At 41.8% G+C, this 26,340-nt stretch overlaps 1 protein-coding gene across 2 annotated transcripts in view, besides 8 other annotated features; it reads left to right on the forward strand.

Moving 5' to 3' along the window:
* The first annotated feature begins 959 nt into the window (after positions 1-959).
* TLCD4 (TLC domain containing 4) overlaps positions 960-26,340 on the forward strand; it is a 105,091-nt gene continuing 79,710 nt past the window's right edge. The window contains exon 1 of one of the 2 annotated variants that reach the window (NM_001199679.2): positions 960-1,324. The gene's annotated coding sequence lies outside the window, so the exon portion shown is untranslated. Of the gene's footprint in view, positions 1,325-25,797; positions 26,061-26,340 lie in introns of those variants that run through there. The other variant, NM_152487.3, reaches the window with a different exon arrangement.
* Positions 4,556-4,615: an enhancer, noted in NCBI's record as "active region_1354". NCBI's record gives its function as "activates an Ori minimal core promoter by ATAC-STARR-seq in GM12878 lymphoblastoid cells {active_cell/tissue: GM12878}" and the evidence as "EXISTENCE:reporter gene assay evidence [ECO:0000049][PMID:35858748]".
* Positions 19,496-19,772: a transcriptional cis regulatory region, noted in NCBI's record as "candidate enhancer chr1.7357 targeted for multiplex CRISPR interference". NCBI's record gives its function as "positively regulates TLCD4 gene expression with high confidence in K562 cells {active_cell/tissue: K562}" and the evidence as "EXISTENCE:mutant phenotype evidence [ECO:0000015][PMID:30612741]".
* Positions 22,182-22,411: a transcriptional cis regulatory region, noted in NCBI's record as "candidate enhancer chr1.7358 targeted for multiplex CRISPR interference". NCBI's record gives its function as "positively regulates TLCD4 gene expression with high confidence in K562 cells {active_cell/tissue: K562}" and the evidence as "EXISTENCE:mutant phenotype evidence [ECO:0000015][PMID:30612741]".
* Positions 24,023-24,550: a transcriptional cis regulatory region, noted in NCBI's record as "candidate enhancer chr1.7359 targeted for multiplex CRISPR interference". NCBI's record gives its function as "positively regulates TLCD4 gene expression with high confidence in K562 cells {active_cell/tissue: K562}" and the evidence as "EXISTENCE:mutant phenotype evidence [ECO:0000015][PMID:30612741]".
* Positions 25,805-25,951: a silencer, noted in NCBI's record as "fragment chr1:95582918-95583064 (GRCh37/hg19 assembly coordinates)". NCBI's record gives its function as "represses an EF-1alpha promoter that drives an FKBP-Casp9 reporter gene in an ReSE screen in K562 erythroleukemia cells {active_cell/tissue: K562}" and the evidence as "EXISTENCE:reporter gene assay evidence [ECO:0000049][PMID:32094911]".
* Positions 25,805-26,158: a biological region, named in NCBI's record as "ReSE screen-validated silencer GRCh37_chr1:95582918-95583064".
* Positions 25,879-26,158: a silencer, noted in NCBI's record as "silent region_1103". NCBI's record gives its function as "represses an Ori minimal core promoter by ATAC-STARR-seq in GM12878 lymphoblastoid cells {active_cell/tissue: GM12878}" and the evidence as "EXISTENCE:reporter gene assay evidence [ECO:0000049][PMID:35858748]".
* Positions 26,239-26,288: a silencer, noted in NCBI's record as "silent region_1104". NCBI's record gives its function as "represses an Ori minimal core promoter by ATAC-STARR-seq in GM12878 lymphoblastoid cells {active_cell/tissue: GM12878}" and the evidence as "EXISTENCE:reporter gene assay evidence [ECO:0000049][PMID:35858748]".

The raw sequence follows: 26,340 nt of genomic DNA on the forward strand, positions 1-26,340 counted from the left end.
CCGGCGCTGCGCTCGATTTCTCACCGGGCCTTAGCTGCCTTCCTGCGGGGCAGGGCTTGGGACCTGCAGCCCGCCATGCCTGAGCCTCCTACCTCCTCCGTGGGCTCCTGTGCGGCCTGTGCCTCCCGGATGAGCGCCGCCTCTTGCTCCACGGCGCCTAGTCCTATCGACCACCTAAGGGCTGAGGAGTGCAGGTGCACGGCACAGGACTGGCAGGCAGCTCCACCTGCAGCCTCGGTGCAGGATCTACTAGGTGAAGCCAGCTGGGCTCCTGAGTCTAGTGGAGACGTGGAGAACCTTTATGTCTAGCTCAGAGATTGTAAATACACCAATTAGCACCCTGTGTCTAGCTCAGGGTCTGTGAATGCACCAATGGACACTCTGTATCTAGCTACTCTGGTGGGGCCTTGGAGAACGTTTATGTCTAGCTCAGGGATTGTAAATACACCAATCGGCACTCTGTATCTAGCTCAAGGTTTGTAAACACACCAGTCAGCACCTTGTGTCTAGCTCAGGGTTTGTGAATGCACCAATCGACACTCTGTATCTGGCTACTCTGGTAAGGCCTTGGAGAACCTTTGTGTGGACACTCTGTATCTAGTTAATCTAGTGGAGAGGTGGAGAACCTTTATGTCTAGCTCAGGGATTGTAAATACACCAATCAGCACCCTGTGTCTAGCTCAAGGTTTGTGAATGCACCAATCGACACTCTGTATCTAGCTACTCTGGTGGGGACTTGGAGAACCTTTGTGTCCACACTCTGTATCTAGCTAATCTAGTAAGGACGTAAAGAACCTTTGTGTCTAGCTCAGGGATTGTAAACGCACCAATCAGCGCCTTGTCAAAACAGACCACTGGGCTCTACCAATCAGCAGGATGTGGGTGAGGCCAGATAAGAGAATAAAAGCAGGCTGCCCGAGCCAGCAGTGGCAACCCGCTCGGGTCCCCTTCCACACTGTGGAAGCTTTGTTCTTTCGTTCTTTGCAATAAATCTTGCTACTGCTCACTCTTTAGGTCTACACTGCTTTTATGAGCTGTAACACTCACCGCGAAGGTCTGCAGCTTCACTCCTGAAGCCAGCAAGACCACGAACCTACCAGAAGGAAGAAACTCTGAACACATCCGAACATCAGAAGGAACAAACTCCAGACGCGCCACCTTAAGAGCTGTAACACTCACCGCGAAGGTCCGCGGCTTCATTCTTCAAGTCAGTAAGACCAAGAACCCACCAATTCCAGACACACTACCTTGGCTCACGGCAACTTCTGTCTCCTGGGTTCAAGTGAGTCTTGTGCCTCAGCCTCCCAAGTAGCTGGGATTACAAGTGAGTGCCACCATGCCCAGCTACTTTTTGTATTTTTAGTAGAGACAGGGTTTCCCCATGTTGGACAGGCTGGTCTTGAACTCCTGACCTCAGGTGATCTGCCCACCTCAGCCTCCCAGAGTGCTGGGATTACAGGTGTGAGTCACCACACTTGGCCTTGTACTAAGTTTTTGAAGAAATTCTATTGCTAAAGAAACCACAAATCTGACTTGGAAATGCCAGTCATTGTTCATATCCTAAGGCAGTCTCTAGGAAAACATATTCTCCAACATCCACTTCAATTTTTAACCTGAAGAATAATGCACAAGGAAGAACCTCCCAGAGGGTGAACCCAGGGGCCCAGATGAGGCTAATCAAGGAATTTCTTTCATGGCCAGTGGAGAGATTTCTGCTTGGAAAGAAAACAAACGAACAAGCAATTAAGGACTACTGATTGTGTCAGGTTTCCATTCTTTTATTTTTCAAATGGAAGTTTTTATTGTGGTTAATTCTGTTTCTGTTCTAACCTTGCATATTGGGTTGAAAGTGGGGATTGAGTATCTTTCTTTTATGTTATGGGTCATCGGACTGTAAGCAGTCATATCTGGATGTATCAGAGTAGGCTGTACTTCCCCCAGAGGTACTGACCTTGAGCTGGCTGCAGAAAGTAGATAGGACCACAGGTAGAGAGGGAGATTGAGCTGTATGTGAAGAAGAGTCCACTCAGATGTTTGGGTGTCCCAAGGGATTGACTATATCTCTTTGTTAGCCTTCACCTTCATGTAATGCAGTCTTTTTGGGAGTATTGATCTGTTTATTCAGAAACCTATTACCTGCATATTGACAATTCCGAAATTCGTATGTCCAACCAGGATTCTCTTCTATGTTCTAGACACATATATGTTATCCAAATACTGGATACCTTTGCATGAATTTACCACAGGAGAGACTTCAACTATAACATGTCCCAAACTGAAATTATTTCCTTTTACCTTAACCACATATCTCTTCTGTGGTAGATTGCAATAAATAGTCATAATCTTGTCCCATCCCTTTATATATGACCCTGTGCAATGTGACTTTTCTGTTTTTCTCATTAAGAGATGGACTCCAGACCTTTACTTCATTGTGTCCGGGTTGGCCTATGACTTGTTTTGACCAAAAAAATGCATAAAAAATAATGATATGGGAATTTTGAGCCTGGACCTTAAGAAGCCTTGCTCTCAGTCTCTTGGAAAGTTCCTGTCATCATGTGAAGAAACTTGGGCTAAGCACCTCCCTTTTTTCTGATACAAGGTCTCACTCTGTCACCCAGGTTGGAGTGCATTGGTGCCATCATGGCTCACTGCAGCCTCAACCTCTGTGGCTCAAGCAATCCTCCCACCTCAGCCTCCCAAGTAGCTGGGACTAAAAGTGCATGCCCTCACATCTGGCTAATTGCATTTTTTTTTTTTTTGGTAGAGATGGAGTCTCACTGTTTCCCAGGCCGGTCTTTAACTTCTGGGCTCAAGTGATCCTCCTACCTTGGCCTCCCAAGGTTTTGGGATTACACCATGCCTGGCTGGCTAGCCTCTTTGAGGATAAGAGTCTACATGGAGAAAGATGCCCAGCTGACATCCAGCACCAACTTGCAAGGCCCAGTGAGATCTCTTGTACCATAATTATTGATAATTTTTAAACGGCAACAACAGAGTGATAAACCCTTCTAAGTGAGTGCTGTATGCCACTGCACAGGTTAAACATCTGTGAACTGGTCTTGATCACCAGAGAGTTTATCTGGACCATCAAGAACCCACCAACCTTCCAGGTGACTGTCACCACATGAATGAGCTCAGGTGAAACCAGCAGAAGAACTTCCCAGCTAAATCCAGCCCAAATACTGACCCACAGAATTGTTAACCCATAAATGATTGTTGTTTTAAGCCACTAAGTTTTGTGATCATATGTTAGGCAGCAATAAATAACTAAAACATACTTACTCCCTTATCGCCTATCCTGGATAATTAAAGCCTGAATAATTTAACTTCACCCACAGTATGAGACCTGAGGAATTCTTCAGGCTTTCTACTTACTTGTGCATCCATGAGTATGAGTTGTGGAGTCAGACTACACGAGTTTAAATTCTAGCTCCTCTTCTAATGTGACCTTGAACACATTATTTGTGCCTGTATTTCTTCATCTGTAAAATGAAGATAACCTTATCTTTCTTACTAGGATCTGTGAAGGTTAAATGACATAACAAATGAACAGCACTTAGCACGGTGGCTATGCTTAATAAATGTCATGATTGCCTTGGATCCAATCATACTGTACCTAAGATTCAGAATGAAACTTGCAGGAGTACTACAGAAGACTGCTGGGGTCACACAGGAGCAGTTTTCAAGGAGGTCAAAAACAGACATGGTCCTAGAGAAACTACAAATTAGTGTAAAGTGACAAACTTGTGCTCTGGAGTCAGACTTTCTACCTTCATATGTCAGCTCTGCCACTTGTTCTGTTTCTCGGCACATTACTTAACCTCTTTAGGGTTTTTATTTTTATTTTTATTTTTATTTTTGAGACAGAGTTGCTCTGTCTCCCAGGCTGGAGTGCAGTGGCGTGATCTCGGCTCACTGCAACTTCCACCTCCTGGGTTCAAGTGATTCTCCTGCCTCAGCCTCCCAAGTAGCTGGGATTACAGGTGCCTGCCACCAAGCCCAGCTAATCTTTTGTATTTTTAGTAGAGACAGGGTTTCACCGTGTTAGCCAGGATGGTTTCAGTCTCCTGACCTTGTGATCCACCCGCCTCAGCCTCCCAAAGTGCTGGGATTACAGGCGTGAGCCACCGCGCCGGCACCTCTTTAGGTCTTAATTATGTATACTGTAAAATGAGAATAATAAAAAGAAATCCCTCATAGTATTATTGTGAGAATTAAGTAAGGACTAAATGATTAAGTCATGTAGGCTTGCCACATGGAATATTCACACCACATGATATTTGAAAAGTGAGTATTGGTCAGAAAGGCAAACCAAAATTGCTTTAAGAGAAAAATTACAACATATAAAGTACACTGTATACAAGACTGCAAACAAGATATGAGGTAAGCGATCAGGAGCCAAAGGGAAGATAAACAAATTAAGTTTAGAGAGGAAGGCAGATGTGAAACCATTCAAGACTTTAGTCATTGCATCAGAAAGTATCGGAGTTGTGTTTCCTCAATCTCTCTGCAAGCTACAGCTGCAAAGCAGAAGGTACACTAACAGCAGGCTTTGGATTGTAGGTAACAGTTCAAGCAATCTGAGGTTATTCTCTACCAATTAGCCATTCAAATTTTAAGTAGAGGAGTGACATTTTGAAAGAGTACCTTGACAACAACTGGAGAACAGAAAGAGCAGGACAGAAGGTCCACTGCCTGTTTTTGTAAATAAAGGTTTATTGGAACATAACCTTTGTATTGAACCATTTATGTATTGGCTGTTGCTGTTTTCCGGCCTTAGGTGTAGAGATGAGTAACTATGACCATCTGGCCCACAAAGCCTGACCTATTTACTGTATGATTCTTTAAGAAGTTATTTGCTGATCCCAGGGAGACTGTTGCAGTAACCTGGGGTAAGACAAGGGTGGATAGCTTTGCGGAAGGGACAGTAAGAACTTTGGAAAGGCAAACCTATAGATTGTGCCAAAATAGTCAATGTCTCTGAGGAAATCATGACCCAGATATCAGTTGGGATCATCCGTTTTGTTTTTAAACTAGATAATATTGACTCAAGCCCCTATTACACAACTCTTACATTATATAGTGTTTCATGAAGTATCCTGCCAATTTTCCAGACGTGATTTCAGCACTACCTCTGGCCCCCGCTAATGGGTTCAGTTTATGGACTATTTCACTGGACTCTAGGTGTGCTATCTCCTTTCTGCTCCTTTTTGATATAGCAGTGCAACTCGGCCCCATCCTGTGGTTTCTTCATTTACCTCACCAGCACCTCCCCTCACACCATGTGTGCGTCTTGCAGAGGTATGAGAATTTAGGGGTAGTGGAAAGCCTACTGGAAATTTGGAAGAAATGAGGGGAGTTAAAGAAATACAAGTAACTTAGAATATTACACATTTTAAAAAAGTATTTTAGGCATACCATGAAGTTACTCTGCCATCCCTTTCTTTTCACTCTTTCTCATCTCTTCTGTCTTGTCCCCAACTCCTTCCACATCTCCAAGTTAATTTCTTTTTCTTCCCCTTAAAAATGTTTTTTTTCTTGATACATAATAGATGTACATATTTTCAGGGTACATGTGATAATTTAATACCTTTATATACTTTGTAAATATCAAATCAATGTAATTAGGATATCCATCACCTTAAATATTTGCCTTTATGCTAAAATTCAAATTATTCTCTTATAGCTATTTTAGAATATACAATAGATTATTGTAAACTGTAGTGACACTACTGATTCCAAATTAATTTCTGATATAGAACAGTCCTTCTTGTTATTCCTGTCTCTTATTAACCCAAGTTCTCTAGGCACACCATCTATATATAATGACTCAAGATGTTTTCCTCTGAGAAGAATTCTACTGCCAGCTATGAGAGAAATGGTTAAACTTCACTCTAGTATCAGGGTTTCTTGGACCACAGTGAGATACTGGTTTGTATCAAAAAATGTGTAATCCAACTCATCCAGCTGGAGGAGCCAGGAAAAGGAGGTAGTCCAAGATGGGAGTAACGAAGTAGGGAAACCCAGATCACTTCCACAGGAGTAGTGTAAATACCTAAGAGGTGTGTGTGAGGTTGTAAATGAGAGAGGACACCAGGAATCAGGAACAGAGGAAATCAACCAAAGGAACTGTATTGTAGACTCTTGCCCCCTTTTGAAAGGAGATGGTGTCGTAACTTTTATATATGTTCCACTTAATAGAGTATTAGACACACCGTAGGGACACAAGAAATAGTTGATAAACGGAACTCTTAACTTCATGCCATTCCTGAAATCTAGTTCTCTTTGTGCTCCTGGGGCTTTGCTGTTTTGATATAGATCAATTTACTGCTCCTGAACAAATCAAGCAGCATTAGTTTTATTTCTAAACAACCTAAGCAAAAGAGCATCAGTAAGTGTATTTCATATATTCTTCCTTCAAATAGATGGAAACTAGCTCTCAATATATTTGTATCGTAACAACATTAATAACAAAAAACAGTTACCACCATCATTTATTGAATGCTGACTAGATCCGATATACAGTATCAGATCTATATAGCACAATGATCTGTGTACTCTCATTTAGGCCTCATAATAGCCCTTTATTATATTCATTTTAGAGATGAGAAGATTCTGGCTCAAAGAGGTTCTCTTTCCTAAAGTCATAATAACTGGTGGTTTTTTTGACTTCAATACTCTTGATCTCAATAACACTAGTCCTCGCTGCCTCATAACTGGTTGCCCTGCCCCATTTCTAAACCTTTGTTCTCCTTATTCTCTTGCTTAAAATCCTTCATTGTTTCCTCATTTCCTCCAGGGCAGAGTCTATGTAATTCGGTGTGGCATAGTTTATTTTTCATAATCCTTGACCACTTTAGTGGCCTTAGCTTCTCCTGCTGTTTCCATAAACGCATATTGAGTTCCAAACATTTGTGGTTCCTGGGGACATGCCCAGCTCCTCTGTGCTTCCGTGGTTTTGCATGTTCTCTCTCATTCTGTGGTATTCTTCCTCCCCATCTGCCTAGGCTTCAAAACCAGAGACCCAAGTTCTGATAAATCTCTTTTTTGAGATCTCCTAATCTCTCTGGATTTTGATTCTCCTGTTAGAAAAATTGAGATGATCTTTCCTCAGTTTGGAAACAGGTTATCTGTAATGAATTGTGGTCTTGCGTCTCAGTGGCTGTATCATCTTGGGAAAGTTGCTAGGCTTCTGTAAGCCTCAGGGTTTTTCTAGAACGGGATAGGCTGGGTGCGGTGGCTCACACCTGTAATCCCAGCACTTTGGGAGGCCGAGGTGGGTGGATCACCTGAGGTCAGGAGTTCAAGACCAGCCTGACCAACATGGAGAAACCCGGTCTCTCTAAATACAAAATTAGCCGGGTGTGGTGGCGCATGCCTGTAATCCCAGCTGCTCGGGAGGCTGAGGCAGGAGAATCACTTGAAGCGGAGGTTGTGGTGAGCCGAGATCGTGCCATTGCACTCCAGCCTGGGCAACAAGAGTGAAACTCTGTCTCAAAAAAAAAAAAAAAAAAAAAAGAACAGGGTAATGATGTTTCTTTAGAATAGTGCCTGACACATAGTAAGTATTATCTTATCATCACTATTTGGTCAGGCACGGTGGCTCACGCCTATAATTCCAGCACTTTGGGAGGGTGAGGCGGGCAAATCACTTGAGTCCAGAAGTTCAAGACCAGCCTGGGCGACATGGTGAAACCCCCTCTCTACTCAGAAATGAATCGTTATTATACGGATCTTGCACAAACTAAATAAGAACAACATGATCTAGGATAATAGTTATTACCACATTGTGCTTCCTTAGTGATTACCTGCTCATCTTTTAAGATTCAGCTCAAATTCACATTTACAATGACTTTCTGTATGCACTCTGTACACTCTACACATGGTTAGTCATTTTGTCAATTGTGCTAAAAAACTCTATTTTTATTTATTATATCACATGTAGTTATTTGTTTAAGTCCTCATTTCCTCTGCTAGTCTGGACTCCTTGAAGACAGGAACTATTTTATTATTCATCCAAACCTAGCATAAGTAGGTATTTAATATACTTTGATTAATTGATTGCATATATATACATTCATTAATAAACAAGAATGATCCTCAAGGAACTTATAGTTACTACAACAATGATGATGATGACAACAATGATGTAATGTTTATTGAGTATAATTTGCTCTACACTGTCCTAAACTCTTGGTACTCATTAACTCATTCAATTCTCACCAACTCTATTAGGTATTATCCCCATGAAAGTTTTTTTTTTTTAATTATAAAATCTTATTATCACTATTTGGTCAGGTACGGTGGCTCACGTCTATAATCCCAGCACTTTGGGAGGCTGAGGCAGGCAAATCACTTGAGTCCAGGAGTTCGAGACCAGCCTGGGCGACTTGGTGAAACCCCCCCTCTACTAAAAACACAAAAAATACAAAAATTAGCTGGGCATGGTGGCTCAGGCCATGGTCCCCACTACTTGGGAGGCTGAGGTGGGAGGATCGCTTGAGCCTAGGAGGTAGAGACCTGGACAACAGAGTGAGACCCCATCTCAAAAAAAATATGTATATGCATATATATACATATAGAATAAAGAAATTCACAAACGTAAAAAAATCTTATTGTCACTATTTTACAGATAAAATAACAGGCTCAGAGAAGTTAAGTAACACACTCAAAGTCATATAGCTATGAAAAGGTGTACAAAAAATTTATGTTTCAATAGAAAATCCTGCATTGCTGGCTGGGTGCGGTGGCTCACGCCTGTAATCCCAGCACTTTGGGAGGCTGAGGCAGGCAAATCACCTGAGGTCAGGAGTTTGAGACTAGCCTGGCCAACATGGTAAAACCTTGTCTCTACTAAAAATACAAAAATTAGCTGGGCATGATGGTGCATGCCTGTAATCCCAGCTACTCCAGAGGCTAAGGCATGAGAATCACTTGAACCCAGGAGGCAGAGGTTGCAGTGAGCTGAGATTGTGCCACTGCACACCAGCCTGGACAACAGAGTGAGACTCTGTCTCAAAAAATAATAATAATAATAAAAAAGAAAAAGAAAATTCTACATTGTTTAGAGGACACCTTCCAGATCATCTGATTCCTGCCTTTAATTGTCTTTGAGCCATTTTACAACTCAGTATAAATATGTCTTTTTCAGATTTGCTTAAAAACAGGTTGTAACATCTGCCTGGTTCCCTCACTGAGTTAGTTAAATAAAATCTTTGACATTATTTCCTTTTCTATCTGTGTCAGTCATGATTTTAGCTTTTTCTGAAAATTATCTTTTAAGAAAGATATAACTGGAATGCAACCCCAATTCTGACTTCAAGGCCCATTTATGCAACTCAAAGGTCTCCAACTTTTTTTTTTTTTTTTGAGACAGAGTCTTGCTCTTTGCCCAGGCTAGAGTGCAGTGGCGCAATCTCAGCTCACTGCAACCTCTGCCTCCTGGGTTCAAGTGATTCTCCTGCCTCAGCCTCCCAAGTAGCTGGGATTACAGGCGCCCGCCAATGTGCCCGGCTACTTTTTGTATTTTTAGTAGAGATGGTGGTTTCACCATCTTGGCCAGGCTGGTCTTGAACTTCTGACCTCGTGATCCACCCGCCTCAGCCTCCCAAAGTGCTAGGATTATAGGCGTGAGCCACCGTGCCTGGCCTAGGTCTCTAACTTTACTGTACACCTTACTGGGGAGCTTCTTTTTATTTTTGTTTCATTTATTTAGAGAAAGGGTCTTGCTCTGTCACCCACGCTAGAGTACAGTGGCGTGATCATAGCTCACTGCAGTCTGAAACTCACTGCAGTCTCAGCCTCCCAAGTAGCTGGGACTACAGGTGCGTGCCATTGTGCCTGACTAATTAAAGTGTGTGTGTGTGTGTGTGTGTGTGTGTGTGTGTGTGTATTTTGTAGAGATGGAGTCTTGCTATGTCACTCAGGCTGGTCTCAAACTCCTGACCTTAAGAGATCCTCCCACCTGAGCCTCCCAAGGTGTTGGGAGCCACATTGCCCAGCCAGGAGCTTCTTTTTAAAGTGCAGAGCTCTGTGTTCTACCTCAAGAAACTCTGATTTACAAGGTTTTTTGTTTGTTTTTGTCTTTTTAACATGACTCCAGTTATTCTGTTGCAGGTGGTGTGAAAAACACTGCTTTGAACAACTCTATGATACTGCTTTCCTGGTAGGAGAAATAAAGTACCTGTACAAAGCAAGATATACATTTGCTTAAACTCTCAAATGAGAAAAGAGGGAGAGAGAAATTCTCAGCCTTAACTAGGAAAGTTTTGACAAGAAAAGATGGGAGGAAAAGACAGTGTGTGTGTTGGGGGCAACATGAGCAAAGGTAGAGATGCAGGAAAATGGAGAATGACTAGTAGTTGGATTTGGTGAGAATGAGTAAAGAGTATGAACAGTAAAAATGGAAATGTAGGTTTGAGCTCAAATGGTGGACATTAACACATTTAGTTAATAGGCAATAAAGAGTAAGAGAACGATTTTGATTTGAGGTGAAAAGAAGATAACCAACAGCAGGTCAGAAGAATTCTGAAGAGGCATGAAGTTGCGGAGAGAGAGAGACAACTTATGAATGACAAGAAAAGAAAAGATATGAGATCACAAGGATTTGAGGACTCTTCTATAACCAATGGATATTTATTGAGGGTCTATTTTGTGTGAAACATGTGGTACTGAGCAATGGGAGAAGATGGAAAGGAAATTATTAACTTGGTATGATGCCAGGGAGACATAAGAGGAAAAGGGTGGTATACAGGTCTAAATTTGGTGAGTGAGAGTAAGGGTAGAGGAAGTAAGTAAATGAAAAATACATAGGGAGTCTGACTGACAGAATTTGCTGTGTACTTGGATAGAGAGAGCTGAGCAAGAGGGAGGAGTCTAGGAAAATTGAAGTCTCTAGATTGGGTGATTAGAAGGATGATGACTTCGTGAACTCAGAGAAAGAAGAGTATGGAAAGGAGGAGGGATCATGAGTTATATATTTTATTGCATTTGAAGAACCTGGGAAAACATAGTAGAGTCTTGGGAATATAGGTCTGAAGCTCAAGAATGAGTTTTAGATGGCATACGTGGAATTGATACCAGATTCACCTTAGTGGATTGGGGGAACAGGGAGGACAGGGTTAAGCCAAAGCTAAGATGGATTTCAAGGTAGGTAAGAACCTGGAGTGGGCAGAAGTGAACTGAGCAAAAGGTTAATTGCAAAATTTAGAGCTAAGAATCAAAGCAGAAAAGACCGTTATGTTCTCAGGTTCAAGGAATTATCAAAACTTTGAGATGGAAAGCTCAAGGGCTAGGGGAATGCAGCAAGAGCTAATTGAGAAATGAGAGCAAAAGCAGTGGATAAAGTACTATATATATATATATTTGCAGAACTTCCTTTAGCAAGAGTAGTGTATTTGTTTGGAAGAACTACTTTTTAAAAAAAAAATTTTTTTTTTTGAGACTGAGTCTTGCTTCGTTGCCCAGGCTGGAGTGCAATGGCACGATCTTGGCTCACTGCAACCTCCGCCTCCCAGGTTCAAGTGATTCTCCTGCCTCAGCCTCCTGAGTAGCTGAGATTACAGGCATGCGCCACCATGCCCGTCTAATTTTTATATTTTTAGTAGAGACAGGGTTTCACCACGTTGGCTGGGCTGGTCTTGAGCTGCTGACCTCAGGTGATGCACCCGCCTCAGCCACCCAAAGTGCTGGGATTACAGACGTGAGCCACTGAACCTGGCCAGAAGAACTACTTTAGGTAGGCAGTGAAACTCCATTGGATTTAATCAACAGAAGATGTTTCTTCAACTCCTATGTAGGAAAGAAGAGAGGTTGGAAGATAGAGCTCGTAGAAGTTCTACTCAACTTCTCAGGAACCCCCTACTCTTATGTTAAGTTGGGGAGAATCGTGAAATGTTTAGAGATAATTTCCTGTAGAAACTAGAGGAAGGGCTGAATTCTGGTTCAGAGAGATGAAGGAATAAGAAGGATGTCAGTGAGTTATTTTTATATTGACATTCTTATAGAATGATTGGGCTTTACTGTTGTAATGGTACAAGCCAAAGAAGACTAAAATTATTAAAACCACATCTAAATTATTTAGGAGACATGATTTTGAATTTCAGCTCTTTTTGTTCATCCCATCCCCTACAAATCAATTTGACAAGTGTTGAAATTCGACAGTGGTGTATTTAGCTATTGGTTATGGTTTTTTATTTCCCAAGAATGTCTTGTACGACTAGCAATCAGAATTTACACAATTGTTTTCAAAGTTTCCCATGATACTCTTACAATGTGCATTATTTGTTAAACGAATTAATAATTTGGATTAAGACAAAGTGAACTGAAATCAAGTTCATTTCACCTCTATGTTGATACATTAAGAGGATGACTTTCTCTTTCTGTACTAACAGAACACTGTGTGCCTAAAACAGTGTTAAAAAGCCAAATGCTGATAGATTTTTAAATACCTGGTAGAGGATTTTATCAACAAACCAGAGGGCTTTGTAGGAGCCATAAAAGGGGAGGCAAAGCAGCCCTTTACATCACTTGGCTGTATTTTATTAACTTTAGGTAATTGCTTAGGATAAAGAAGGAGGAGAAACACATCATTCTCTCTAGAATGTAGATTATCAGGTAAGACTCTCCCTCAGCCACAGAACTTTGAGCTTCCTAAGCGAGTTCCTTGACAAGCTGAGAACAATGGGAACACTTAGATAGCACCCACCTTGCAGGGTGCAATGTAAGTTGCAAAGGTGTACAGATGCTCCTTTACTTAGGATGGTGTTGTGTACTGACGAACCCATCATAAATGGAAAATACACTAAGTCAAAAATGCGTTTAACGGGCCAGGCACGGTGGCTCACGCCTGTAATCCCAGCACTTTGGGAGGCCGAGGCGGGCGGATCAGGAGGTCAGGAGATCGAGACCATGCTGGCTAACACAATGAAACCCCATCTCTACTAAAAATACAAAAAAATTAGCTGGGCAAGGTGGCGGGTGCCTGTAGTCCCAGCTACTCGGGAGGCTGAGGCAGACGAGTGGCATGAACTCCGGGGGGCGGAGCCTGCAATGAGCTGAGATCGCGCCACTGCACTCCAGCCTGGGGGACAGCGAGACTCCGTCTCAAAAAAAAAAAAAAAAAGCGTTTAACATGCCTAATCTACTGAACATCATAGCTTAGCCCAGCCTACTTTAAACATGCTCAGAACATTTTTAGCATGGCTCACACCAGAAATCCCAGCACTTTGGGAAGCTGAGGTGGGTGAATTTCTTGAGCTCAGAAGTTCAAGACCAGCCTGGCCAACATGGCGAAGCCCCATCTCTACAAAAAATTAGCTGGGCATGGTGGGGTGCACGTGTAGTCCTAGCTACTTGGGAGGTTGAGGCAGGCGTGGATTGATTGATCCCAGATGGTCAAGGCTGCCGTGCGCCCTGATCACACCACTGCACTCCAGCCTGGGTGGCAGAGTGAGACTCTGACTCAATAACAATAAAAAAAAATAATACTTTCAGTACAGTATTCAATAAATTATACAAGATATTCAGTACTTTATTATAAAATAGGCTTTGTGTTAGATGATTTCGCCTAGCATCAGGAGAGAGTATAATTGTACCACATATCACCAGCCTGGGAAAAGATCAACTTGACAATGCAATGAAACGCATTCAGTAGAAGAATCTTGAAGGAATGCATTTCACTGCATTGTAAAGTCGAAAAATTGTTAAGCTGGACTATTTTAAGTCAGGGACTATCTGCATAAGACAGATTTATTGAAAATAAATTCCCTGAAATATCCTTTTCCCTGAAACTAGATTGTCTTCAGGTAATTGATAATCCAGGTGTATTCAGTGATTTCACTCTCAGAACAGTTGTGAGACTTAGAATTGTACTTTGGACTTTAATGTACCATAATCTTGCCTCCTCCATGGGTGGTGGGTTTTGATAATTAGGCACTTGTCCAGAAAAGCTGGATTTTGGATGAATATATTACTTCATTTGTTTCTAAATTCAGAAAATATTTATTTATTTTTATTGGTGGCAGCAATAGAGACTAATTAGAAAGGATGAGTGCATGGCCGGGCGCGGTGGCTCACGCCTGTAATCCCAGCACTTTGGGAGGCCGAGGCGGGCGGATCACGAGGCCAGGAGATCGAGACCATCCTGGCTAACACGGTGAAACCCTGTCTCTACTAAAAATACAAAAAATTAGCCAGACGTGGTGGCGGGTGCCTGTAGTCCCAGCTACTCGCGAGGCTGAGACAAGAGAATGGCGTGAACCCGCGAGGCGGAGTTTGCAGTGAGCCGAGATTGCACCACTGCACTCCAGCCTGGGTGACAGAGCGAGACTCCGTCTTAAAAAAAAAAAAAAAAAAGAAAAGAAAAAAGAAAGGACGAGTGCAGAAAGAAGACTACTGCAAAGAGGACTAGTTTGGAGGCAGTTGTTCTAATGCAGACACTGAATGCTTCTGTGGGACGAGGAGGAAGTCAATGATGACCCCCAGGTCTTCCTGATGGCTTAGTGGATCCTGTAGCCATAGCCATATGGAGAGATAATCACTGTAGATAATATTCCATTTAAGAACTTGTTATTGAGAAAGGCTCAAATTCTGAAGACCTCAATTTCTATCTATAAATGTTAAGAGGTAAAGTGAGTTTCTTACCTGTAACAAAAGAAACAATTTCAATGCTAAAAAATCCTGACATTTACTTCAACTTCATTTCAATTTGATATGTTTGTGAAATTATCTTGTATTTTCTACTTACCACAGAGAATTTTAAAATCTGAGACTTTAAACATAATTTTCCTTATTGAAAATAAATCCCCTTAAAATATCCTTTCCCCTAAAACTAGATTGTTTTCTTTTTAAAATCAAAAAAGGGCCAGGTGTGGTGGCTCACGCCTGTAATCCTACCACTTTGGCAGGCCGAGGCGGGTGGATTGCTTGAGCTCAGGAGTCCGAGACCAGCCTGGGCGACATGGTGAAATTCTGTCTCTACCAAAAATTGGCTGGGCGTAGTAGTGCATGCCTGTGGTCCAAGCTACTCAGGAGGCTGAGGTGGAAGGATTGCTTGAACGTGGGATGTGGAAGTTGCAGGGAGCCGAGATGGCACCGCTACACTCCAACCTGAGTGACAGAGTGTGACCCATCTCAAAACAAACAAACAGACAAAACAACAACAACAAAACCAAATAAAAAATTATTAATATATTGCAAAGTATAACAAAAATATTTTGAAAAGGGATGGCAATGGGTAATTTTCAAAACCGTTACTTGCTGGAGGACAAAAAATGCTTTTTAATTAAAATGCACAGCATGCAGGTCAAGATTAAGTGGGAGATCTGAATGCAGCATATGCATTTTCCATAAAAATAATAACTGTCATTTTCGATGCTTCTGACTTCTCATATAGAATGTCTAAAACAGGAACTTCGGTTAGTGATACACATGATTCATATGTATGGGTTGAGCTGCTTATAGTAACACCATTGCAGGAATGATAGTTGTAATAACATGAGGTAAATTTTATTGGGAGATAAGAAATTTGTAAGGGAGATAATATGTTTGCATATTTAACAACAGTCATAAAAATAGTTCTTTTAGGCCGGGCGCGGTGGCTCACGCCTGTAATCCCAGCACTTTGGGAGGCCAAGGCATGCGGATCATGAGGTCAGGAGATCGAGACCATCCTGGCTAACACGGTGAAACCCTGTCTCTACTAAAAATACAAAAAATTAGCCGGGCGTGGTGGTGGGCGCCTGTAGTCCCACCTACTCGGGAGGCTGAGGCAGGAGAATGGCGTGAACCCAGGAGGCGAAGCTTGCAGTGAGCCGAGATTGCGCCACTGCACTTCAGCCTGGGCGACAGAGCAAGACTCTGTCTTAAACAAACAAACAAAAAAAATTTGCTCTTTTAATTTTTAATTATTTTTAGGGTAGTTTTTTGTCTCTGTGAAGTGGTTGGTTTATATCACTACAAAAATATGATTCTTTTGGAATTGAATATTTTAGCAGGGGATGGCAGTAGAGCAGGGGCTCTTTATACTAAGGAATACTTCTAAACTCTAAAGTTGTATTTAGCTATAAGGTCTATGAAAACCACTTATGAATAGTTTATCAACTTTATTTTTAAAAATCGTACATAGGAACAGGATAGGGAACATGTTAGTTCTGATTTTAATCATATTGATGTATGGGTTCTTCATGTTTCAAAACAGTAAGCAGGAATTTTTATATGCTGATAAACAGTGATACTCTAGTATTATCCAAGCAACGTCTGTTAACAAGGCATTTTAGATCTAGAATTAAACAAAAAAAGATATAGCTTTGTAAATTTCCCTCTTTTTCAAAAATGATGGTGGGGAGACCAATCTGAAGAGGCTGTCGTGAGAGATGAATGCTCCTAAGTCAAAGAGTAGTGAGGAAGTAGAATAACAATATGTTTATGGGATGAGGTTGGTTGGTTTTAATTTGCATATAGTTTTACAAATGAAGACCATTTATAATGTGTAAAGGTCCTTTATTTTTCTTTTTCTGTGATATCTGTTCATGTTTTCTAATTTTCTCTCGAGTGTCTGGTCTTTTTCTTCTTTGATATATAAGCTTCTTATATATTTATCTGTGATTTGAATATCAGATATTTTTTCCAGTTTGTAATTTGTGTCTCATCCTTGCTTATGCTATTATTGTTATTTTTGCCAGGTAGTAGTTTCTGATTTTTTAATTAGTTAGATTTATTAATCTTTTATGGCTTTTAGATTTTGAGTCACAGTTAGGCCTTCCCATTCCTTTTTACGAATTCCAACGTAAGGAGAGAATTCATCCATATTTTCATGGAATGCATTTTTTTGTTTTTGTTTCTGTTTTGCTCTGTCATCCAGGTGGGAGTGCCGTGGTGCAATCATGGCTCACTCTGGTTTTGACCTTCTGGGCTCAGCCATTCTCCCACCTCATTTTTTGATTTTTTCTAGAGAGGAGGTCTCACTATGTTGCCCAGGCTGGTATCAAACTCCTGGGCTTAAGCAATCCTCCCATCTTGGCCTCCCAAAATGCTGGCATTATAGGTGTGAGCCACCATCCCTGGCCTTTGTAATACATTTGTATATTCGTATTTTGCATTTAAGTCTTTGGCCCATTTGGAATATTTACTAGCATACAGAATGAGACATAGATTTAACTTTATTTTTTCCAGGTGCTATCCATTTATTCAAGTGTCCATCTTACCCCACTGACTTGAGATGCTGCTTATTTGGGTCTATTTCTGGGCTTTCTATTTAATTCCATTAGCCTATCTATTCCATTGGAAATCCCAAAGTATTAATTATTGAGATTCTATAGTATTTTTTAATATACAGAAGGTTATTCCTTCCTCACTGATCTTTTAAAAATTGTTCTTCTGGTAAACTTGTTTGTTTATTTTCCCATGTGGACTTTGGAATCATTTTGTCCTATTCCAGAAAATTGCCAATTAGTGTTTTCATTGATATTGTAATACATTTAAAAATTAGGGGCACGTGCAGTGGCTCACACCTGTAATCCCAGGACTTTGAGAGGCTGAGGTGGGCAGATAGCTTGAGCTTAGGAGTTTGAGACCAGCCTGGGCAAGAAGGCAAAACCCCGTCTCTGCAAAAAATACAAAAATTAGCCAGGCCTGGTGGGTGTGCCTACAGTCCCAGCTATCCAGGAGGCTGAGGTGGGAAGACTGTTTGGGCCCAGGAGGTTGATGCTACAGGGAGGGAGATCTCATTTGAGCCAAAATTGTGCCACTGCCCTCCAGCCTGGGCGACAGAGTGAGACCCTGACTTTAAATAAATAAATAAATAAAATTAAAACTTAGAGAGCATTTACATACATTGACTTTTTCTCTCCAAAACCTGGTCTGATTTTCATTTGTTCAAGTCTACTCTTGTGTCCTGCAGGAGTGTTTTAATGTTTTTCTCATGTAAGTTTTGCATTTTTTTTTTTTTTGAGATGGAATCTTGCTCTGTTGCCCAGGCTGGAGTTCAGTGGTATGATCTCTGCTTACTGCAACCTCCGCCTCCTGGGTTCAAGGGATTCTCCCACCTCAGCCTCCCAAGTAGGTGGGACTACAGGCGTGTGCAACCATACCTGGCTAATTTTTTGTATTTTTAGTAGAGACGGGGTTTCACCATGTTGGCCAGGCTGGTCTTGAACTCCTGATCTCAAGTGATTCACCTGCCTCAGCCTCCCAAAGTGTTGGTATTACAAGCGTGAGTCACCATGCCCAGCCAGTTTTGCATATTTTTTGTTAATTACCCCTACACACTTTTTGTTGCGATTATGTCTTTTTCTTCTTTTATTTTGTAAGAGTATTGTTTATCTGTTTGTACTACATACACATAATGTGTGTATGCATATATATATATATATATATATATATATATATATATATATATATATACACACACACAAACAATTTTGGTAAATTAATTTTTTTCCTGCTCCCACACTTAAATTTTTTATTGTTTATATATTTTTTAGTTGATATTTTGGGTATACATATACACGTACATGTGAGGATATACATATGTATACCAAAAAAATCAACTGAAAAAATGTATATTTAAAAAATATATATATTTCACTTGATTTATAGGTATAAAATCATATAATATAGAAATGACAGTTTTACACTTTTTTTGTCAATAATTATATCTTTACTTTCTGTCTTTCCTCTAGTTCCTTTGACTGATACTTTCAGCCCCACATTAATTAGTAGGGGAAGAACGAGCAACCCTTTTGTCCTGTTGACCTGAGCAGGAATCCTCCAAATTTCCCTATTAAATTTGAAGCTGGGTTTGAATTTTAAAATTAATTTTTAGTCAGACATTACTACTTTGCTTTATGTGAGAAATGGAAAATTTCATCCAACAACAAGATCCCTAAATGTCCAACAATAAGGGATTGGTTAAATACATTATGTTAAATTCATTGAATGTAACAGAGCACTTACAAAATATGTAATCTTTTTGTCATTGAAATAAAACCGAAAGTATATGCAAGTATGCATGGAAAAATATCGAGGAGGACATTCAATAAATGGATCTAGGCCAGGTGCGGTGGCTCACGCCTGTAATCCCAGCACTTTGGGAGGCCAAGATGGGCAGATTACTTGAGTCCAGGAGTTCAAGACCAACCTGCACAACATGGCAACACTCTGTCTCTACAAAAAATTTAAAAAAGTAGCCAGGTGTGGTGGCGCATGCCTGTAGTGCATGCCTCCTACAGGTGGAGGTTGCAGTGAGCTGAGATTGCCCCATGCACTCTAGCCTGGGCAACACGGCAAGATTCTGTCTCAAAAGAAAAGTAAAAAAAAAAAAAAAAAAGGATCTAAAAGTTATAAGCATATAAACTGGTGATTGATAACATAAATTTCAACTAATTTATAAAATCTAAAAATATCCATAACATTTTAGCATAATTTAAAAACGTTAGAGATTTATGAAAAATTGGCCAGGTGTGGTGGCTCATTCCTGTAATCCCAGTGCTTTGGGAGGCCAAAGCAGGAGGATTGCTTGAGGCAAGGTATTTGAGACCAGCCTAGGCAACAGAGCAAGACTATCTCCACATAAAATAAAAAAAAAAAAAGATTATCTGGGTGTGGTAGTGTGCACCTACCCAGCTACTCAGGAGGCTGAGGTGGGAGGATTGCTTGAGCCCTGCAGCTCAAGATTACGGTGAGCTATGCTCATACCACTGCACTCCAGCCTGGAAGACAGACAGATTGTGTCTCTTAAAACAAAACAAAACAAAACAAAACAAAAAAAAAGAAAAGAAAAGAAAAGAAATGAAAGACATTTACAAAATAATAACTGTGTTCTTTGTTCTGGATCCCTTTCTGTTATTAATTATTTTCAAAATGAAAAAATAAGCCTCTCCTGTTTAATTATGGAACGACCAGAGGTGTTTATCATGTATTCTTTGCAAAATGACATGAAAATGATAGTGTAGAAAGATGTTTACAAGATATAAGCCACAAGGAAAAAGGGAATAGGAGAAAAGTCTACAACAGATAAGAGATTTCAATAAATTGTAAAAGCCAGAAATTGGACAGAGAAGTGATAACTGGCTTGGCAAAATGGAAGAGAGGCTAACCTCAGTGCTTGGAGGAAACTTAGCACTTGATGGTGCAGTGGACTGTGGAAGGCAGGGGCAGGGCACAGGCTGAAAAAGGAAGATTGCTGTATAATGGTTCACTAGGCTCTTGGACCCCTGGGTCCCTTCTCCACCTCATTCAGGCAGCCTGCACTCATGCCCTCCACCCTAACATTGCCACTATCAATGCAATCCCTCTATGAGGTTAGAAGTTTCTCCTCTGGAGAAAGGAGTTTATCCTTTGGTGAAGCGTTCTCATAAACAAAACGTCTAACCAGAGAATGGGAAAGAGCCCTTGGAAATGACAAATGTGTTTGAAATAGAAAGTTCGGTGGAAGATAAGGTTAAGGAATTATTTTGGTCAAGGATGTCTCAATCTTGGCACAGTTGCCATCTGGTGCTGGAAATTCTTTGTGTGGAAGTTTGCTCTGTGTATTGTATGACGGTTAGCAGCATCCATGGCTTCTACTCACTAGATGCCAGACCATCCCCCTCTTTCCTGTGGCGACAACCAAGAATATCTCCAGACATTGCCACGTGTCTCCTGGGGCAGGGGAATCAACCTTCTCCTCCTTCTGCCCCGTTTGAGAACCTCTATCTCAGACAATAGATAAGAAAGATACAGAGATGATCAATAGGATAAAAGGACAATACATTTAGAGAATAATATAGATGTTCCAATAACCTACTAACAAGAATTCACAAAAAGAATAGAGAAAATGGAAGGGAGGAAAACAGCAAATAAATAAAAGAAAAAATTTGCAAATGAGATAAAAAAGACTGCTTGGTATCCAGCACAACCACTGAAAAAAGACCTATTTGTAAGGTGCATCAATATGACATTTCAGACTACTAGGGAAAATGGAAGATTCTAGAAAGAAAAATAGGTCAGATACAGAGGAGTGGGAACTAGAAAGGCATTAGACATTTCAATGGCAACACTGGAAAAATGCTTTCAAAATGCTGAGGGAAAATAATTTTCAATCCATCTAAATTATCAGTCAGGAATAAGAGTAGAATGAAGACATTTTCAGACAGGCAAGTACTCTAAAAATTTACCCTCTAGTACCTCTTCTGAGTAAGCTACTGGAGTCTGTGATCTGGCAAAATAAAAGAGTAAACTGAAAGTTGTGTGTTTGGGCATTGGAAGATATTATTGATGGGCATTTGATAGATATGTTGAAGCATTTGTATCTAAAATTTAGGTTAGATACATTTTTATTTTATTTATTTATTTATTCTTGTAGAGACATAGTCTTACTAAGTTGCCCAGGCTGGTCTTAAACTCCTGACCTCAAGCAATCCTCCTGCCTTGGCCTCCCAAAGTGTTGGAATTACAGTTGTGAGCCACTGCATCCAACCTTAGCTACATTTCTTTTTCTTTTCTTTCTTTTTTTTTTTTTTTTTGAGACAGAGTCTTGCTCTGTCGCCCAGGCTGGAGTGCAGTGGCGCGATCTCGGCTCACTGCAACCTCTGCCTCCTGGGTTCAAGCGATTCTCCTGTCTCAGCCTCCTGAGTAGCTGGGATTACAGGCGTGCGCCACTAAGCCCAGCTACTTTTCGTATTTTTAGTAGATACGGGGTTTCGCCATGTTGGCCAGGCTGGTGGTCTCAACCTCCTAACCTCGGGTGATCTGCCTGTCTAGGCCTCCCAAAGTGCTGGGATTACAGGCATGAACCACCACACCTGGCCCCTAATTGTTGATTTGAGTGAACATTGTAATATGGTTATGTTGCAAGGAAGCATGAGGGCAAAGTTGTTGTGGTGGTGGGTAAAAGAGCTAAATCCTCAAATACCATAAGATGTCAATAAAGAATATGTAAAACTGAAAATCAAGAAATTCTGTTACAAGGTTATCATTTAGGAGATGAAGAACATGGTAGGGTTGTGTGGAATGTAGGGTGAAGACAGGTGGGGAGAAGCAGGGCCGGGGGCTGATGGCACTCATTGATGTTTTTTGTTATAAGCCTTTAAGAATTATTTGATTTTTCACTTATGTGTGTTACTTTCACTAAAAATAAAAATGCAAACAAAACAATACACATACATTGTAGAAAATATATCACATATAATAAAATGCGCAAAAAGAACATAAAAAGATGGCCAGAATCTCATCCATCCAGAAAACTGAGTGTGCCTGTAGTCTCAGCTATTTAAGAGGCTAAATGGGGAGGATTGTTTCTGTATTTTATGGGCTGCCTCCATAGATGCCTGGGAGTTAGAGGCTGTCATGTGATATGGTATCTGTGACTGGCCACTGTACTCCTGTACCCCAGCATGGGCAGCATAGCAGACCCTATCTCTTAAAAAAAAAAGTCTCACCCACCCAGAAATAACCACTGGTAATATCTTGAAATAGTTTCATCTGAAAACAAATGAAAGTACTTTTAAAAAAACCTTTTGGTTTGTTTGTTTGTTTGTTTAGAGACAGGGTCTCACTCTGTTACCCAGGCTGGAGTGCAGTGGTGCAATATCAGCTCACTGCAGCCTCCAACTCCTGGTCTCAAGCAATCCTCCTGCCTCAGTCTCCCAAAGCACTTGGGATTACAGACATAAGCCAGTGTGCCTGGTGAAAGTATTTTTAAACACTTATAAAACTACAAACACTCTTAATACACTAAAACTACCAACACAGGAAAAAGTAGTGCTTGGGGTTATTCATTTTTTAGTAATTCAGCCTTTCTGATCAAAATGTTTGGCGTCATTTAGTTTGTATCTTCACTAACAGAGCAGAGTGGAGAATTAAGGCAACTTCTCAAAATATTTTTGCTTTAATTATAATTTTTAGAAAAAAAACAGCTTTTGGTCTTAGTTTTTCAAACAATTGGTTCTATTCAGAAGATTAAGAATTTTGGAAAATAAATTCATCAGGAAAACTTACTTCATTTAAAACAGTTTTTGGCTGGACATGGTAGCCTGTAATCCCAGCACTTTGGGAAGTCGAGGTGGGTGGATCACTTGAGGTCAGCAGTTCGGGACCGGCCTAGCCAACATGGTGAAACCCCGTCTCTATTAGAAATACAAAAATTAGCCAAGCATGGTGGTGCATGCCTGTGATCCCAGGTATTCGGGAGGCTGAAGCACGAGATCTGAAACTGGAAGGCGGAGGTTGCAGTGATCCGAGATGGCACCACTGCACTCCAGCCTGGGCAACAGAGCAAGACTCTGTCTCAAAGAAAAAAAAAAAAGAGTTTTTGTATTTGTTGCCCATTTCAAGTGTGGATAAATACTTTCATTTCTCTGATCTGTTTGCTTGAACTGTTTCAGTGAATAACAATATAAAAAGTGCAATTCGGTCTTTATACATCCCATTTAAAATGCAGAAAAACTTCATATGGTAAATACAGAATTCTGAGAAAGTATCCTTGGAAAGGGAATATTGGTGAAACAATTAATAATACAGATTTAATGAACTGGATATATATATATACACATTATATATATATATATATAATATATATGTTTGTTTTTGAGACAGAGTTTCGCTCTTATTGCCCAGGCTGGAGTGCTATGGTGTGAGCTCGGCTCACACAACCTCTGCCTCCCAGGTTCAAGCGATTTTCCTACCTCAGCCTCTCGAGTAGCTGAGATTATAGGCAAGCACCACCATGCCTGGCTAATTTTTTATATTTTTAGTAGAGACAGGGTTTCTCCATGTTGGTCAGGCTGGTCTCGAACTCTCAACCTCAGGTGATCTGCCCGCCTCAGCCTCCCAAAGTGCTGGGATTACAGGCGTGAGCCACTGCACCCAGCCATGAACTGGATATTTTTAAAGAGATTAAGCTACCCTGAATTTTTCAGGAAAAAATACAGTTGATGTATTCTTCTACCTCCTAAGGTCACTGAGTTTTAATTAGCTTAAAACTTGCAACATTCAACTACTATTTACTGAATTCCTCTCATAGCTCAGGCCTTGTCCTTGATATATTAACTTATATGTTCTGTACAATCTCAAAAACAATCTTGCAGTTTTCATGAGGCATTTGTAGAGGCCTAATATGAAGGAATATAGTGGGACATAGAGTATAGTGGATTTCTGTGGGTTTACCTGGCTTTGGTTACTGCTGTTGGTGTTAGAGAATTATGCATATCAAAGATAATGATGGTGCATTTATCAGGAAAGAACAGAGCTACTATCAGCCACCAGAGACTAGCATGGGAGAGTTTCTGTAGGAGGTAGTGTTGATACAGACTCTTGAGAGGACACTGTGAAATTGGTATTTTCTGGGCTGACTTCACAGATGTTCACATATAACCATCCTGCCCACAGAGAGTTATGAAATAGCTATGTGAGTGCACAAGGTAGCTATTGCGCAAACCAAAGTTGTCAGGTACTGCACATATTGTGAAGGGACTATGATGGGACACCGTGTGGTTCAAAGAGCACTGGAGCCCTGGTACATCCTGAGAGTCTTGGGGAGAAAAAGGGGAACACGCATTTGGGGGCCTGAAAGATCTTTCTCTCTGCTTGACTGCAGGGCAGGTTTCTGTCCCTCCCTGTTCTGTGGTATAGATTTTGTCTTTTCCACATCAGTCCAGGTCTTCAGAGTCACTATGAATTATTATTACCATTTTAAAGATGAAGAAATTGAGCCTCAGTGAGGTTCAGTTAGCTAAAGGCACACAACTCTAATAAACTGACAGAATTCCAGGTTCTGATTTAAATTCTATTGCCCTCTCTTGAAAATAAACATGGACAGCTTATATGAGCTTTTGTGTATATATTTTCTGGTCTAAATCTGCGGCAGATATGTGTGTCTTTCTGCGCATGTATATAGTAGATCAAATATGTTAGCTCTATTGACATTTCTTAGAAATAAATATCCTGTTATCAATGATAGTGTTTACAAATTATTTATTTAGAACTTACCTCTTTTCAAGAAAAGGCCTTGTGATTGCTCTCTGCGAATTATAATGCATGAGTATACCTCTTTGTTATTTTGTTTTGTTTCAGACAATTATCTCTGGTTGATGCAGATCACTTGGAGGCTTTTGGGGCTGTATATAACAGGTCAGAACATCTATTTAATGTCAAACTTTATCTACTAGGCAACTTGGAATTCTCAGCCAGCACCAAATATTCAAATCCAACTTCCACACCCCGACAACAGAGGGGTTCCGGGTGTAGGTGTAGTGCTGGTGCACCCATGAGGGTGTTTTTCAGGAATTCTGGAGGTGGTGCTGGAGAGAACACGCTTCTTCTACACGCGCCCCCTACCAGTTTGGTATGCACCTGCAGCCCCAAAGAAGAACTGGCGGGACTCGAGTGTGGCCGTGTCAGACGTGGCAAGAAAAACCAGCAGTTGCCTTTTCATCTCTTTTCTGATGATCTAACCATGAAGTCCCCAGTATTTGAGCATTTAAGGCAGAATGTAAATTCATAATTTAAGAAGATTTTTTGTTACGTGGCTAGCCCAGGTACTGACCGCTGCGGGGGCGGGCTCACACAGTTCCCCCGCTGGCAAGTTTTGTGACTTGCTTTGGAAAACCCGGGAATTGCACCCTCTGCCCTTGGCAAGGTGTGAGCTTCCAGGATCTCTCCGCTGCGACTTCGGGTGTTAGGGTTTTTGGGCTCTTTCCGGGACCCAAGTTCCAGGGCAAGAAGGTCTGCTCGGCGGCCCGCCTCGGGGCCCCGCCCACTTTGGCCAGGGTCGGAGCCGCCCGGAGCGGGAGCCGGAGCCCGAGCGGCCGCGGCCCCTTTAAGGAGCAGCTCTGCGGTAACCCGAGCCCGCAGTCCGGGCGGGCGCGACGGCCGCCGCGGTAGCTGGAGCCTCCGCGACTGCACCTCCAAGCGGCCCGGAACCCGCGGCTTCCCTGGCTCCCGTGAGCATCTCACCGGGCGGCACTGGCCAGCGCCAGCCCTCGGGCCGGCCCGGATGAGCAGACTCCTGTAGACACCCGCCGCCCTCTCCCGGCTCGGCGCAGCCGCCGCCCGCGCGCGACTCGCCCCGGGACCCGGCACAGGTGACGCCGTTTGGAGGGGGGGTTGGGGAGGAAGGCGGGCTTGCCTCGCCCCGCGGCTCCCCCGCGCCAGCCGCCAAGCGCAGCCCGCGGAGAGGGGTGCCGCGGCTTCCCGCCCCTGGCCTAGCGCGGCCGAGAGCTCCTGCGCCTGGAGGCTGGGTGGGCGTCCGGCGCGCGGGAGGCGGCCCGGGGCTCCCGGGCGGGCTCCGGCAGGTGTGTGCGGAAGGCTCAGCATCGTCCCCGCCCGGCGGGCCACGGCGTCGCTCCGGGAGCAAATGGTGTC

The sequence above is a fragment of the Homo sapiens genome, chromosome 1 (genome assembly GCF_000001405.40).
Source record: "Homo sapiens chromosome 1, GRCh38.p14 Primary Assembly".
In the NCBI taxonomy this organism is placed as follows: Eukaryota; Metazoa; Chordata; class Mammalia; order Primates; family Hominidae; genus Homo; species Homo sapiens.